Source organism: Homo sapiens, chromosome 4, assembly GCF_000001405.40.
Source record: "Homo sapiens chromosome 4, GRCh38.p14 Primary Assembly".
Classification (NCBI taxonomy): Eukaryota; Metazoa; Chordata; class Mammalia; order Primates; family Hominidae; genus Homo; species Homo sapiens.
The window spans coordinates 101,755,036-101,770,127 of NC_000004.12; positions in this window are offsets into that span (position 1 = coordinate 101,755,036).

Genomic DNA, 15,092 nt, shown 5'->3' on the forward strand with positions numbered 1-15,092 from the left:
TCCTTTATTGTTTAGAGTGGGAGTGGGGTGGGGATAAGGATGATTGAGAGTGGTGGGACCAGACTCTGCCCAAGTACATCTCAGAAAGCCCAGCTGGGTGATGGAGTTGCCCTCAACTGTTCAAAGCTCTTTGAACTTGTTACTTTTGCTATGTCTCAGCTTTGAACTTTAGCCACAATTAATGAATATATAAGCAACATTACCTTTTAATAGTCTATCATAAATGTTTTATGATTTCAATGAGATGATCTATAGTGGTAGAATAATTATCTGTTTGTCTAGCTGCCAATTTCGTTCTTCTGTGTATGTTCTCCTCATGTTAATTTAAAACCATCTTAAAACTCTTGTGACTTATAATGACAATTCCCAATTATTAAATAATAGAAAATATTACAAACATGTAATTATTTTTTCTACCATAAAGTACAAGAAGTATAATCTGAAATAAAAATTATTTAACTCTTTTTTAACTCTTTCATATCACCTCATGTTATAGATATACAGAACTATAATCATGTGGTTTTTAAACATATAATTCCTTAGTAGTATTTATTGAGTCATTCTGCCATTTTATTTGAAATAAAACATCTTATAAGCCATCCTTCAATGTTTTGAAACTATTAGTTAACATTTTAAAACTCTGTATTAATATTGTCTAAACTATATATTGTACCTACATATTATTTTCTGTTATAAGATGATTTCAAAAACTAATACTGAGCCTGTCAGTAGAGTATGCTAGGTTGAATTCCCTGATGGCCACATTTCTATGCTTTAAATTAATGTACTGATTTACAAAGATTAGTTTCTTGGTAATTGGAATGGGGATATCTAAAAGGAGGCAGATAAACTAAGAAGTCTTTATACCTGTGCTCTTTCAAGATATTTCTCAGAGATACCACTGCCCAGAGCTCTAAGTGAAGCACTATTCTACATTATATGGCAAAATAAATAAATAAAATACAAGTAACTAAATTTCCAAGAAGAGAGAACTATATATAATGACAGAATAAGATAAAAGATTCCATGTGACTTAACTCTAGGCCTTTGTTTCACCAAGGGAGCCATGAGGAATCAGTTTTAAATGGAAGGATAATACATAAAAAGGAGTATTGTGTGTGTGTGTGTGTGTGTGTGTGTGTGTGTGTATGCCCACACACAGATGGCATATATGATTGATCATTCTAGAATTGTGACTGTTGTTATGGATTAATAGCGTAAGGAAGTGTTCCAAGCACAACTCAATGCCTTTCCTGTATTAACAAGAAAAACCCTGTGCTCAACACAAAACATTCTGTCAAGCTAATAAATTGTATTGTATGCAAAGAGCTCAAAGCACAGCCAGTACATTCTTGTTCCCTCTGCAAGCTGCACAGGTAAACTCTTTTCAGAACTGCCTAGTTATGTGTGCATTCATGACCCTCAGACACACACCCAGCTTTCTGTATTTCAGATCTCGTGGGGTAAGTCCTTCTACTGCAGCACAAAGTGGAATGCATATAACCACACCACCCACACATTGGCTATGGATCTGATCTGCTAGCCATGGGTTATTGATGCATTGCAAGGGGCTGGACCTATGTACTCTCTCCTCTTTCTGTAAGTAAACTCTGTACTCCTTGAGCCTGGTATGCAAGTTTTCTGTTCTCAGCAATCTCTAGTCTTGCACTGGAAGAGGCAGAGGAAGGTGTATTTGATTGAGACAACTTTATCTAGTTGTATTCCACTCTGCACATCCCTGCTGATGAAATAAGAGATATTAAGGCAGAAATGAGGGGCACTGTCAAAGAAGAGTCCCTAGTGGAAAAAGGGACCTATACCTTACTACCATTCTACCTTGACTTGACCCCCTTCAATAAAACAGATTGGCATGGAGCCAAAGTTTCTGGGCCCCACAAGGGAAAACAACCCTATTCCTCAGTAAAAGTAGAAGAAGAAAAGGGTGGCATGAATACTTTAATGGGTATCTTAGAGACAGGGCTCAGGTAACCATCATTCCTGGCCCCTACCATGGGTGGAAACAGCAGATGTCCCTAGGGACTTTAAAAACTAATATTGTCACATATGGAAAGGAAGTGACCATGTGCTTAGCTATTGACTTCTTTGGCCCTTTTTGCATGACAGTGATGGTGGTTTTCACTACTGAATGAATAATAGGTATATATGTATAACTGCTGTGTACAAGGCATCTATCACTGACTTTGAAGTTACACTCCACCTAATTCAGACAATTACAGTGGAGCACATTGCCTCCTGAGACTCCCTTAAGCTGTGCACATCGTAAAGAGTGGTCTAAATAATATTTCATCCAGGGTGGAGAAAAGGAAATAACTGCCCTGATTCAAGAATTAATGGATGCTGGGGTTTTGAGATCTACCATTTCCCAATACAATAGGCCAGTTTGGCCTATAAAGAAGACATTCAACATATAGTGGCCCAAGATATACTACCACCAGTTCAACTGCCAGTTAGCATCATTTGCCCTATCTGTACTGGACGTTATTTCAGTCAAGGAGCAACTGGCAAAACATGACAGCATTTGGTATGCTATTGTTAACCTGGTCAAAATGTTTTTCTCCGTTTTGATGAGGGAAGAGAACCAGACCAAGTTGCCTTTACATAGCTGGGGATGCGATATATGTTTACTGTCCTTCCTTAGGGATATGTCAGTTCTACTGCTATTTGCCATCTGTAGATAGGGCTGGATTTACAAAAGTCTGATCTCCAAGCCTCAGTTTTCTGCCTATATTACATTGATGACATTATTCTGGTTGGACCAGATAAGAGCATAATTAAAAGGGCCCTGGACAATGCAATCCAGGCAATGATCTCAGATGACTGGATTACTGACACTGATAAAATCTAGGGATGGCCCAATACATCACCTTTCTAGGTGTGATTTGGGCCAAGGCCCAATGGGACATTACCACCAAGATTAAGGAGAAATTTCTGACTTCAACACCCCTGAATTCAAAGAAACAATCTCAATGATTAATGGGGCTGTTTAGGTACTGAAGACAGCACACTTGACATCTGGGAATTTTGCAGTCTCCCTTCAGTGTCTCTGAATAGCAGCTGCTGCCACACTAGTAGGCACTAATAAAGATGGAACAAATTATCCTTGAATCTACTGTGTTGCTGAGGACTTATCTATTAATTTTGAACTGAGTTAGCACCCTCCCAACAAATAAAGTATGGCAAGCACAATGAAACTCCATCATCAAACAGAAAAGGTATATTCAACATAGAGACTGACCAGGACCCCAAGGGAGTCACCTGGTTAGAAAAACTCATGGCTGACACCCCAAAAAGTACCCCCACTGGATGCTGCAGAGGCCCCAGTGTCCCTGATAGTACACCAGGGATGCTGTCTTTAGAAAGTACCCCTAGAGGTATTGTGACTTTGTTCACATATGGGTTTGCCAAATGGAAAGCCAATAGATTCCACTGGGAAGTAGCTACCATCTGCCCCTAGGATGAATACATCATCATTGACCAAGGTTGAGGCAGGTTGGCTCAATGGGCAGAACTGGCACCTATATGGTTAGGCATGTAGGCTACTCCCAAACTTCATTGTGTTATGTCTTCACAGACTCCTAGGCTATAGCCAACAGCAACCCAGTGTGTGTACAAGAGCAATGAGATATTAGCTTAATGGGAAGTTACAATATTCATCACATATGTGGATAGGCATAAGAAAGGCTTTTACCAAACAGGGAATGACTTGGATGAGCAAGTAGTCACAGCCTACACCAGAATGATAGCCACAATAACCACTGGATTTACCAGTGAACTGGGCACATACCCATTTCCTTCCCCTAGAGGAAGCTGAACAGTCTATAGTCACATCGTATTCATGCAAGAAAGTTCAATAAAGGAAAGAAAGTGAACTGGGTCACATTTGTTGTAGACTAGCCCCAATACAAGTCTAGCAAATGGACCATGCCCAACTGATGCCCTTTAATTGGGGCTTTCAGTGGTCTGATAATTGTAAGTATCTATTTCAAGCTTTGTGCTGCAATCTTGGTGTACTTCGTAGACTCAGGAACCACGATATTGGCCATCAAGAACCTTTTTGCCATGTAAGCTATCCTGACATTATGTAAACAGACCAAGAAACAGCCTTCACAGTGAAGGCCATGCAACAGTGGACAGCATCCCACATCACTAGGTGGATTCTGCACACCCCACAACACCCTCAAGCCACCTGCCTGATAGAACAGCAGCTGTGATAGGAAACACCAGAGTGTACTCTCTACAACCATACAGCAGAAGAAAACCACAGCAATAAATGACTTGCTTGGTAATGAGAGTAGGAGTAGGCAGGAGAGGCCAAGTCCTGTCTGTATGTGAGTCCTGTCACCTACACTCAGTATCCCTACTTTTTCCTTTTACCCTTTGAAATTGAATAGAAACAGATGGGTAATAGGTGGTCCTAGTGGCAACCCTGCCAGATAGTCAAGTCACAGCCAACCTAGAATTCATGCTACCTGAGGGCACTTCTTTGCTCTGTACCCTCCACACCCCAAGGAGGGATCTATGAAATGTCACAGGGAGGAAGGCATTCCTAACCAGGCCCACTGAAGGGAATGACACTATAGGTGCAGTTACGAGTTACATTGGGGTGATTAGCCTCAATGTTAACCACCTGGTGGGCCTCCAGGATCATGGATGTAAGGTACGGGTATTCATGGTCAAATGCTGGGTACCCAGTGAAATCGTCACTCCCAGATAGAGCCAAATAAACTAGATTGTGCAGAACAGCTGGGAAATCTCCATATTGTTGGACTGAGACACCTGAGACCTCGAGAAGCGTGTGTGTGTGTGTGTGTGTGTGTGTGTGTGTGCACACGCACATGCAGGGGGAATAACTAACCTTCCACATCCTTTTACCTCCAGGTTCCCTTGGATTAGTCATGGTGGGACAAAGCAATGGTTAACATTAGCCAGGCAGTAGCCCAGGAGGCATTCTGATGAGGTATTGGGTTTGTCACCTTTGGATCCAGTGGGTGCTGCCAAACTTCCCACTGTGCTGGAATAGCCAATCATCAACATCATTGGTGTCCCCCTGCCGTCCACGTCTTTGAGCGATGTGTGATGCTCCTGCTTTGCATCCACATTTAATGACCACCCAGTATCCTATGCATTAATACCTTTTTGAGGTAGGACATAATGCTAAAGAAGACTTTAAACATTGTTGACACTTTGGGAAGACCAACACTCTTCAGAATTTTTAATGCCCACCTATGTATGCATGAATGCCTCTACAACTGGATTAGTATTACTTATAACAACTGCTCTTTTATCAGGGTAATGTGAGCTCCTTTTGCTACGTGTTTCTTTGCAGGATACATTGACCACAGAGTGCTTGCCCCCAGAGGAGGAAGCCTGTTTTGTAGAGGTTTGGGTACCCAAGGTGTTCTACACAATAACATCTATTGGTGAACGAGGCCCACCCTACTTGCCCACTGGGTATCCTGCAGGTTCCACCTCCCTCAGGGCCAAACAAATAGCTTTTTACATTCCACTGCATTTTCATACCCAGGATGGGTGCCTATACCTTGGAGACTGTGGTGCAGTATCTATCTCTAAGTATGACAGCTGTGGCTAACACTACACCTGTTGCAATGCAAAAACAACAGGACTCATTGAAATTCCTAGTAAAAGTGATCTCGGACAACCACATTGCCCTAGACTAGTTTCTAGTTGAACAAGAAGAGGTATATGTCAGAGCTAACACATCTTGCTGTGTGTACTTCAATAACACTAAGGTAATTAACATTAATACATAACACTAAGGTACTAAGGCCATAAAAATTTAAAAAAAGAAAAGAAAAACAGCCACAATTTATGTCCTTGAGTCCCTCCACTCAAGGACATAAACATCAGTAACTTTATTTTATAGTAAAAACTACATAGGTAACTTTCTTTTTGTTTCTACCCCCAAATAAAATTTTTACTCTTTTTTAATGACTGCATATGCTTATGTGTGTTAAATTATTAGAATATAAAAATGAATTATTTGTTTTTCTTTTTCTTTTTTTTTTGAGACAGAGTCTCGCTCTGTCACCCAGGCTGGAGTGCAGTGGTGTGATCTCTGCTCACTGCAAGCTCCGCCTCCGGGGTTCACGCCATTCTCCTGCCTCAGCCTCCCGAGTAGCTGAGACTACAGGTGCCTGCCACTACGCCCAGCTAATTTTTTTGTATTTTCAGTAGAGATGGGGTTTCATCGTGTTAGCCAGGATGGACTCAATCTCCTGACCTCATAATCTGCCCGCCTCGGCCTCCCAAAGTGCTGGGATTACAGGCGTGAGCCACCGCGCCTGGCTGAATTATTTCTTTTTTGATGTTCCATCTTATTTTTATCTGTAACTATACCCTATTTATAATAGAGTCAGAGTTATTTCTCCTTATCCTACTTCTTTGGCTAATAAAATCTTATCATCTTGTTAATGGAGTTTTAATTCTTGCACAACTAACCTGCTCTCAGAATGCTCACACAGAGTTATTTTGCTTCAGGCCTCACCCAGTTCCCACCCAGCCCAAAAGGCTGGTCTTACTTGGACCATGCCTCCTGCAACAGCACCAACTTCCTTTTCCAGGCAGCCGGTGAGCAGGGTGAGAATTTTCTCCAGGCTACAAGCCTCCCTGGGGAGAAAGCAAGCAGGGCTTTCAGGTTTTGTGCCTTCCTGCCTGCTGTGACTTCTGTGTTTGTATCTGCACTCCCTGTTCACCCCTTCCCCAGATTCTGCCCAGGAAACTTCACATTTGGTTGAAATTGTTACAAGGTTCAGCTGGAAGTTTCCTTCTTCCTGTGATCTTTCCCAATTCCACTGTCAGCCCTCCCCAAGGACCCCTGCGAGATGAAGTCAGAAATGGCTTCCCTGGGGACGGAGAGTGCCGACAGAGTTCTTCCTGGTGCTTCCTCTACTCCTATACTTCACCCGGCGCCCCAAATTCATCTCAGCTTCAAAAAAAATCAATTCCTTCTTTTGTGATCTGGACCTTCAGGTTCCCCAGTGAGGATGTGTGTTCAGAAGTGGACGTTCCCCCTTTCACGCTTTGGGCACTCACAGTTTTTCAGCCATTTCCTGGAGCCTGCAGTGGCAAGTTGCTTCTTTCAAAAATTCTGTGGATTCTCTTGGCTTTCCTGGTATGTTGCTGTGGTAGTTCTTGGAGCAAAAGTTCATGTTGTGAGTCTCCACACACTGCTCTCTTGGGGATCTCTTTCAGTCAGATGGTTCCAAAGTTGTTAAATGGCTCAGTTCTAAATATTATTTTTTCTTTAATATAGTTGGAGCAATCAATAGACTGAGCAATACCTTTGTCAGCTACATGGCTATCTTGTTTCAAAAAATCTGTGTTCTTTTAACAATCTCCATGATTATCTGCAGATTAAGCTCTAACCTTTCTGCTAATTGTAATTATTGTGTCCATTTAGTTTCTGATGGCTAACGTGCTGGATTGATTATTTTGGGGTTGTATAATCCCCTTTGATGTCCGGGATTCTTGTTATGCAAAAGCCCTGGTATACAGTTAACTGTAGCTACAAAGCTGCTTAAGAATTCTGGTTTCCTTCTCAGTAGGGCATTTTTTATCACTTTGATAAGCAGAGCATACTCTGGGTATCCTCACAAAATGTAGTCATCTCTTGAGTTTTCTGTTTTCTGTAATAGCTCTTCTCTAGCAATCCTATCTGAAATTTTAATCTCTTTACTCTGCCATTTGCCTTAGCAGTTTTACTTTATGGAGTAGAGGTCATAAATTTTTCCAAGCTTCTAAGTGCCAACTAAGTATATTAGCACTGTGTCTCTCTCCTGAGACGTTGCCAGAATGTTAAATCCTATATACATCACAGGAAAGTGATCCCATTTGATAAACCCTATGTTATCCAACTTTATGTTTTACTTGACTTGATTCGTCTCCTTCATGATCCAGTCCTATTTATACTTTTCTAAATCTTGTAGGACATGTTGACTAGATATTTCTACTTTTATGATTTATAGAATCTTTTTTCCTTTAGGAGATCCAACTGTTTCTTTACCTGGTCATATTGTAGTTGGTAGTGAATTATTAATCTGATGCCCAAGAGGGGAGAGAGGAAAAGAACTGAGGGGGAAGGTATATTGAGTCTTGTAAGGCATAAGCTTGTGCATTGGTGTTAAGCAAGGAGCAAGTGCTGGCATTTCACACGGAGAAGAGGTGTCCTTCTCCAGGCACAGAATTTGGAGAAATCTGGGCACAAAAAATTTTCAGGTGCATAGACCCAGAGACCCAGATATCATCACCACCCCATGTTTCAGGATCTGTTCTCTTCCAATCAGGGCCCTGATCTTGGCATAGCAGGCTCATTGGGGTTGAGAATTTGAACTTCTCTAGAGCTCTGATACCCATAAAATTAAGTCTTGGCCCTGATCTTTAGCCTTTTCTGAACTCCAGCTACAGGAAGAGAGAATCCCTTTATTTTTTATATGCTGCCAGGAGGCTCTCTTTCACATTTGTTTTACATTGGTGATTACTCACCCTTAGCCATTTGTTGTATTCCTCCATGAAGCAATGGCCCTTGCCATTGTCATTCAGTCCCATACTCCTTATAATTACTATTTTTCCCAAACCTCTCATATGCCTGAGTTACTGGATCTGTCAATTCATTTCTTTCTATTTGGCATCCCATCCTAGTTCGCCACTGTAAACAGTTATATCAATGACACTGAAAACCATATGCCAGGAACTATCAGTGCCAGCAATGATGTCCTGAAGTCCAACTGACTGGAGTGGGATGCAGCTCCAGATCTTATTATAGAGTCTGCTTCCTGATACTACACCTGCTACCAACTGTTGCAAGTTCCTTGGGAAACAAATCCTGATATTTACATGCAGTAAATTTTTTGAGAAATATTCTCAGGAACAAAACATGTAAAGGGTAAAGGAAGTAATATTGGGCAAAGGGAAAAGTCAGACAAAGAAGCAGTTGCAGTAGAAACCGCAGGCCATACTTTGGAGGGTCCTTGAGCTAGATGACCTTTCAGAATTGTCTCAACTGGGTAAGGGACCTAGCAGTTGTCTTCCCATATTAACAACTTATTGGATGCAGATTGCCTCATTGGAAAGTAAGTAACCCTGAGCAAGGCAGTTTCTTTTGATGAAGGGCAGTTCCTGAAGAGAATGCAGTTGGGAGTTGTCACTAGCCAAGATTCCCAGGAGCTTGGCTAGAGTTGAATAATAGAACTGAAGAGGTGTCTATGCAGTATACCACAGTATGAATTCCTTGAACCCACTGCTGGAGTCATATGTGGACTTTTCTAGTTGGTCTCTTATAGTGCACATGTATTTTTCAATCTACCCACACTTCTCTCTTTTTTCTGTTTATAACCACCATGTTTTTTTCCTGGAAAAATGTTTTTCTCCTAATTTAACTATGTGATCTGGGTTTGTGAGGCCATGTTCCTATATATCTTATCCCTCCAACACAATCATTGTTTATGGACCCAAAGATGAACACTTCGACCCAGCAAGATAAATCAGCATGCTTCACATCTCCTCTTCCAACTGAAAAGATTGGTTTTTGAATCCATCTATATCAATTAAAGCCTTTCCTCATGAATTTTTTTTGCAACTTTTAGATTCAAAGGGTACATGTGCAGGTTTGTTACACGGGTATATTGCACTCAGGTAGTGAGCATACTACCTAATAGGTACTATTTCAACCCATTTCCCCTTCCCTCTCTCCCTCTATAGTAGTCCACGGTGTCTATTATTCTCATGCTATGCCCATGGGTTCTCAATGTTTAGCTCCCATTTGTAAGAGATAACATCCAATATTTCATTTTCTGTTCCTGTGTTAATTCACTTGGGATTATGGCCTCCAGATCTATCTATGTTGCTGCAAAGGACAAGATTACATTCTTTTTTTATGGCTGGGTAGTATTCCATGGTGTATATGTACCACAGTTTCTTTATCCAATCCACCAGTCATGGGCTCTTGACTCCATGACTTTGCTACTGTGACTAGCATGGCAATGAACATACAAGTGCATGTGTGTTTTTGGTATCATAATATATTTTCCTTTTGATACATACTCAGTAATGGGATTGCTGAATTGAATGATAGCTCTGGTCTAAGTTCTTTGAAAAATTTCCAAACTGCTTTCCACAGTGGCTGAGCTAATTTCATTCCCACTAACAGTGTATAAGCATTCCCTTTTCTCTGCAACCTCACTGGCATCTGTTGATTTTTGACTTTTCAATAATAAGCATTCTGACTGGTGTGAGATGGTACCTCATTATGATTTTGATTTGCTCTTCTCTAATGACTAGTGGTGATGAGCATTTTTTCATATGTTTTTTGGCCAGTTGTATGTCTTCTTTTGAGAAGTGTCTGTTCAAGTCCTTTGCCCATTTTTATGGGGTTGTTTTTTGCTTGTTGACTAGTTTAAGCTACTTATAGATTCTGGATAGTAGATGTTTGCCAGATGCATATATTTTATTCTGTTCTGTAAATAGATTGTCTGTTTATTGATATTCTTTCTTGCTGTGCAGAAGCTCTTTAGTTTAATTAGTACCACTTGTCAATTTTTGTTTTTGTTCCAATTGCTTTTGGGAACTCCACCAAAAATTATTTGCCAAGGATGGTGTCAAGAAGAGTATTTCCTAGGTTTACTTACATTTAAATCTCTAATCCATCTTAAGTTAACTTTTGTATATGGTGAAAGATAAGGGCACAGTTTCAACCTTCTGCGCTTACCTATCCATTTATCCTAGCACCATTTATTGAATAAAGTCCTTTTCCCATTGCTTCTTATTGTCAACTGTGTCAAAGATCAGATAAGTGTGTTATAAATGTGATGCTTTATTTCTGAGTTTTTACTCTGTTCCTTTGGTATATGTGTCTGTTTTTGTACCAATACCATGCTGTTTTGGTTGGTATAGCCTTATAGCTTAGTTTGAAGTCAGATAATGTGATGCCTCCAGCTTTGGTCTTTTTTTCTTAGGATTGCTTTGCTTGTTTGGGCTCTTTGTTGGTACCATATGAATTTTAGAATAGTTTTTCCTAATTCTGTGAAGAACGATGTTGGTAGTTTGGTAGAAATAGTGTTGAATCTGTACATTTCTTTGGGCAATATGGCCATTTTTTTCTATGTTAGCTTTCAACTTTTTAATTTTTTTAATTTTGAGGGGTACATAATAGGTGTATATATTTATGGGATACATGAGGTATTTTGATACAGGAATGCAATGTGTAATATTCACATCATGTAAAATGGGGTATCCATTCCCTCAAGTATTTATCCTTCGTATTACAAACAATCCAATTATACTCTTTAGTTATTTTAATATGTACAATTACATTATTATTGACTATAGCCATGCTATTGGGCTATCAAATACTAAGTCTTATTCATTCCTTCTATGTATTTGTACCCATTAACTATCCCCATCTCCCCTCAATCCTCTCTGCTACCCTTCTCAGCCTCTGGTAACCATCCTTTTGCTTTCTGTCTCCATGAGTTCAATTGTTTTGATTTTTAGCTCCCACAAATAAATGAGAACATACAATTTCTTTGCCTTTGCCTTTCTGTGCCTGACTTATTTTACTTAACATAATGACCTCTAGTTCCACTTATGTTGTTGAAGATGACAGGATATCATTCTTTTTTATGGCTGAATAGTACTCCACTATGTATAAGCACACTACACTTTCTTTATCTATTCATCTGTTAATGGACACTTAGATTATTTCTAAATCTTGGCTATTGTGATGAGTGCTGCAACAAACATGGGAGGGCAGATATCTCTTTGATATACTGATTTCCTTTATTTTGGATATATACCTAGAAATGGGATTGCTAGATCATATAGTAGCTCTATCTGTAGTTTTCTGAGGAACGTCCAACCTGTTACCCAAGGTAATTGTACTAATTTACATTCCCAACAACAGTGAGCAAGGGTTCCTTTTTCTCCACATCCTCACCAGCATTTGTTATTGCCTGTCTTTTTGATATAAGCCATTTTAACTGGGGTGAGATGATATCTCATTGTAGTTTTGATTTGCATTTCTCTGATGATCAGTGATGTTGAGTACATTTCATATGCCTGTTTTCCATTTGTATGTCTTCTTATGAGAAATGTCCATTCAAATCTTTTGCCCATTTTCTTACTGGATTATTAGACTTATTCCCATAGTGTTGTTTGAGCTCCTTATATATTCTGGTTATTAATCCCTTGTCAGATAGGTAGTTTGCAAATATTTTCTTTCATCCTGTGGGCTGTCTCTTCACGTTGTTTTTTCCTTTGTTGTGCAGAAGCTTTTTAACTTGATGTAATCCCATCTGTCCATTTTGCCTTGGTTGTCTGTGCTTGTGGTGTATTACTCAATAAATTATTGCCCAGACCAATGTTCTGGGGAGTTTCCTGGATGTTTTCTTCTAGTATTTCCAAAGTTTCAGGTCTTAGATTTAATTTTTTAATCCACTTTCATTTGATTTTTTAACATGGTGAGAGACAGGAGTTTCATTTCAATCTTCTGCATATGAATATCTTGTTTTTCCAGCACCATTTTGAAGAGGCTGTCTTTTTCCCAGTGTATATTCTTGGCACCTTTGTCAAAAATGAGTTCACTGCAGGTGTGTGGATTTGTTTTTGGGTTCTCTATTCTATTCCACTGTTCTATGCATCTGTGTTTATGCTAGTGCTATGCAGTTTTGCTTACTATAGCTCTGTAGTATATTTTGAAGTCAGTTAATGTGATTCTTCCAGTGTTTTTCTTTTTGCCTAGAACAACTCTGGATATTCTAGGTCTTTTGTGGTTTCATATAAATTTTAGGATTTTTTTTTTTATTTCTGTAAAGAATGTCATTGGTATTTTGAAAGGGATACATTGAATCTGTAGATTGCTTTGGGTAATACAAACATTTTAACTTCATTGGTTCTTCCAGTTCATGAACATGGAATATCTTTCCATTTTTTGGCATCCTATTCAATTTATTTCATCAATGTTTTATAGTTTTCATTGTAAAAATCTTTCACTTCTTTGGTTAATTCCTAGGTATTTATTTGTGCCTATTGTAAATGGGATTACTTTTTAAATTTCTTTTTCAGATTGTTCACTGTTGGCATATAGGAATGCTACTGATTTCTGCATGTTGATTTTGTATCCTGCAACTTTACTGAATTTATTTATCATTTCTAATAGTTTTTTGGTGGAGTCTTTAGGTTTTTCCAAACATAAGATCTTATCATCTGCAAATAAGGATAATTTGACTTCTCCCTTTCCAATATTGATGCCCTTTATTTCTTTCCCTTGTGTGATTGCTCTAGCTAGGACTTCCAGTACTATGCTGAATAGTAGTGGTAAAAGTGGCCATCCTTGTCATGTTCTGGATCTTAAAGGAAAGTCTTTCAGGTTTTCCCCATTTATTATGATACTAGCTGTGGGTCTGTCATTTATGGCTTTTATTATATTGAGATATGTTCTTTCTAACCCTAGTTTTTTGAGTGTTTTTATCATGATGAAATGATGAATCTTATCAAATGCCTTTCATCATCAATTGAAATAACCATATGGTTTTTATCCTTCGTTCTGTTGATATGTTGTGTCACATTGATTAATTTGTATATGCTGAACTATCCTTGGGTGTCTGGGATAAATCTCAGTATGACCATTTTAATAATATTGGTTCTTCAAATCTACAAGCAGAGCATATTTTCCCATTTATTTGTGTCATCTCTAATTTCTTTCATCAGTGTTTTGTAGTTCTCCTTGAAGAGATCTTTCACCTCCTTGGTTAGCTGTATTCCTAGATATTTCATTTTCTTTGTGGCTATTGTAAATGGGATTGTGTTCTTGATTTGATTCTCAGCCTGGACATTATTGGTGTATAGAAGTGCTACTGGATTTTGTACATTGACTTTGTACCCTGAAACCTTACTAAAGTCATTTATCACTTCTAATGGTCTTTTACCAAATTCTTTAGGGTTTTCCAGGTATAAAATCATACATCAGCAAAGACAGATAGTTTGATTTCCTCTCTTCCTATTTAGATATCTTTTATTTCTTTCTCTTGCTTATTTATTTCTCTGCTAGGACTACCAGTACTATGTTGAATAGGAGTGGTGAGAGTGAGCATCCTTGTCCTATTCCAGTTCTCAAGGAAAATGCTTCCAGCTTTCACCTGTTCAGTATGGTGTTGGCTATCACTGTGTCATAGATGGCTCTTATTATTCTGAGGTATTTTGAGATTCCTTTGATACCTAGTTTGTTGAGGGTTTTTTATTATGAAGGGTTGTTGGATTTTATTGAAAAAATTTTCCACATTTATTGAGGTAATTATATAGTTGTACTTTTTAATTCTATTTATGCCATGGATTGCTTTTATTAATTTACATATGTTGAAACAACCTTGCACCCCAGGAATAAAGCCTACTTGATTGTGGTGTATTATCTTTTTGGTATGCTGCTGGATTTGGCTTGCTAGTACATCAATGAGGATTTTTTCATCTATGTTTATCAGAGATATTAGCCTGTAGTTTTCTTTTTTTATTGTGTCTCTGCCAGATTTTGGTATTAGGCTGATGCAGGCTTCATATAATGAGTTAGGGAGGAGCCCCTCCTCCTCAAGTTTTTATAATAGTTTCAGTAGGATAGGTACCAGTTCATCCTTGCACATCTGGTAAAATTCAGCTGAGTCCATTTGGTCCAGGGCTGTATTTGTCTGGTAGATTTTTTATTACTGATTGAATTTCAGGACTTGATATTTGTCTGTTCAGAGATTCAATCCCTTCCTGACTCAATCATGGGAGATTGTGTGTGTCCGGTAATTTATCCATTTCCTCTGGATTTTCTAATTTGTGTGCATAGAGTTGTTCATAGTATTCTCTGAGGATCTTTTGTATTTCCGTGGGATCGGTTTTAATGCCATCTTTGTCATTTCTGATTATACTTATTTGAATCATGTCTTTCTTTTCTTTTTGTTTGTTAATCTAACTAGTGGTCTATCAATGCTGCTTATATTTTCTGAAGAACTGACTCTTGGCTTCACTTATCTTTCATGTAGATTTTTGCAGCTCAATTTCATTCAGTTCATTTCTAATTT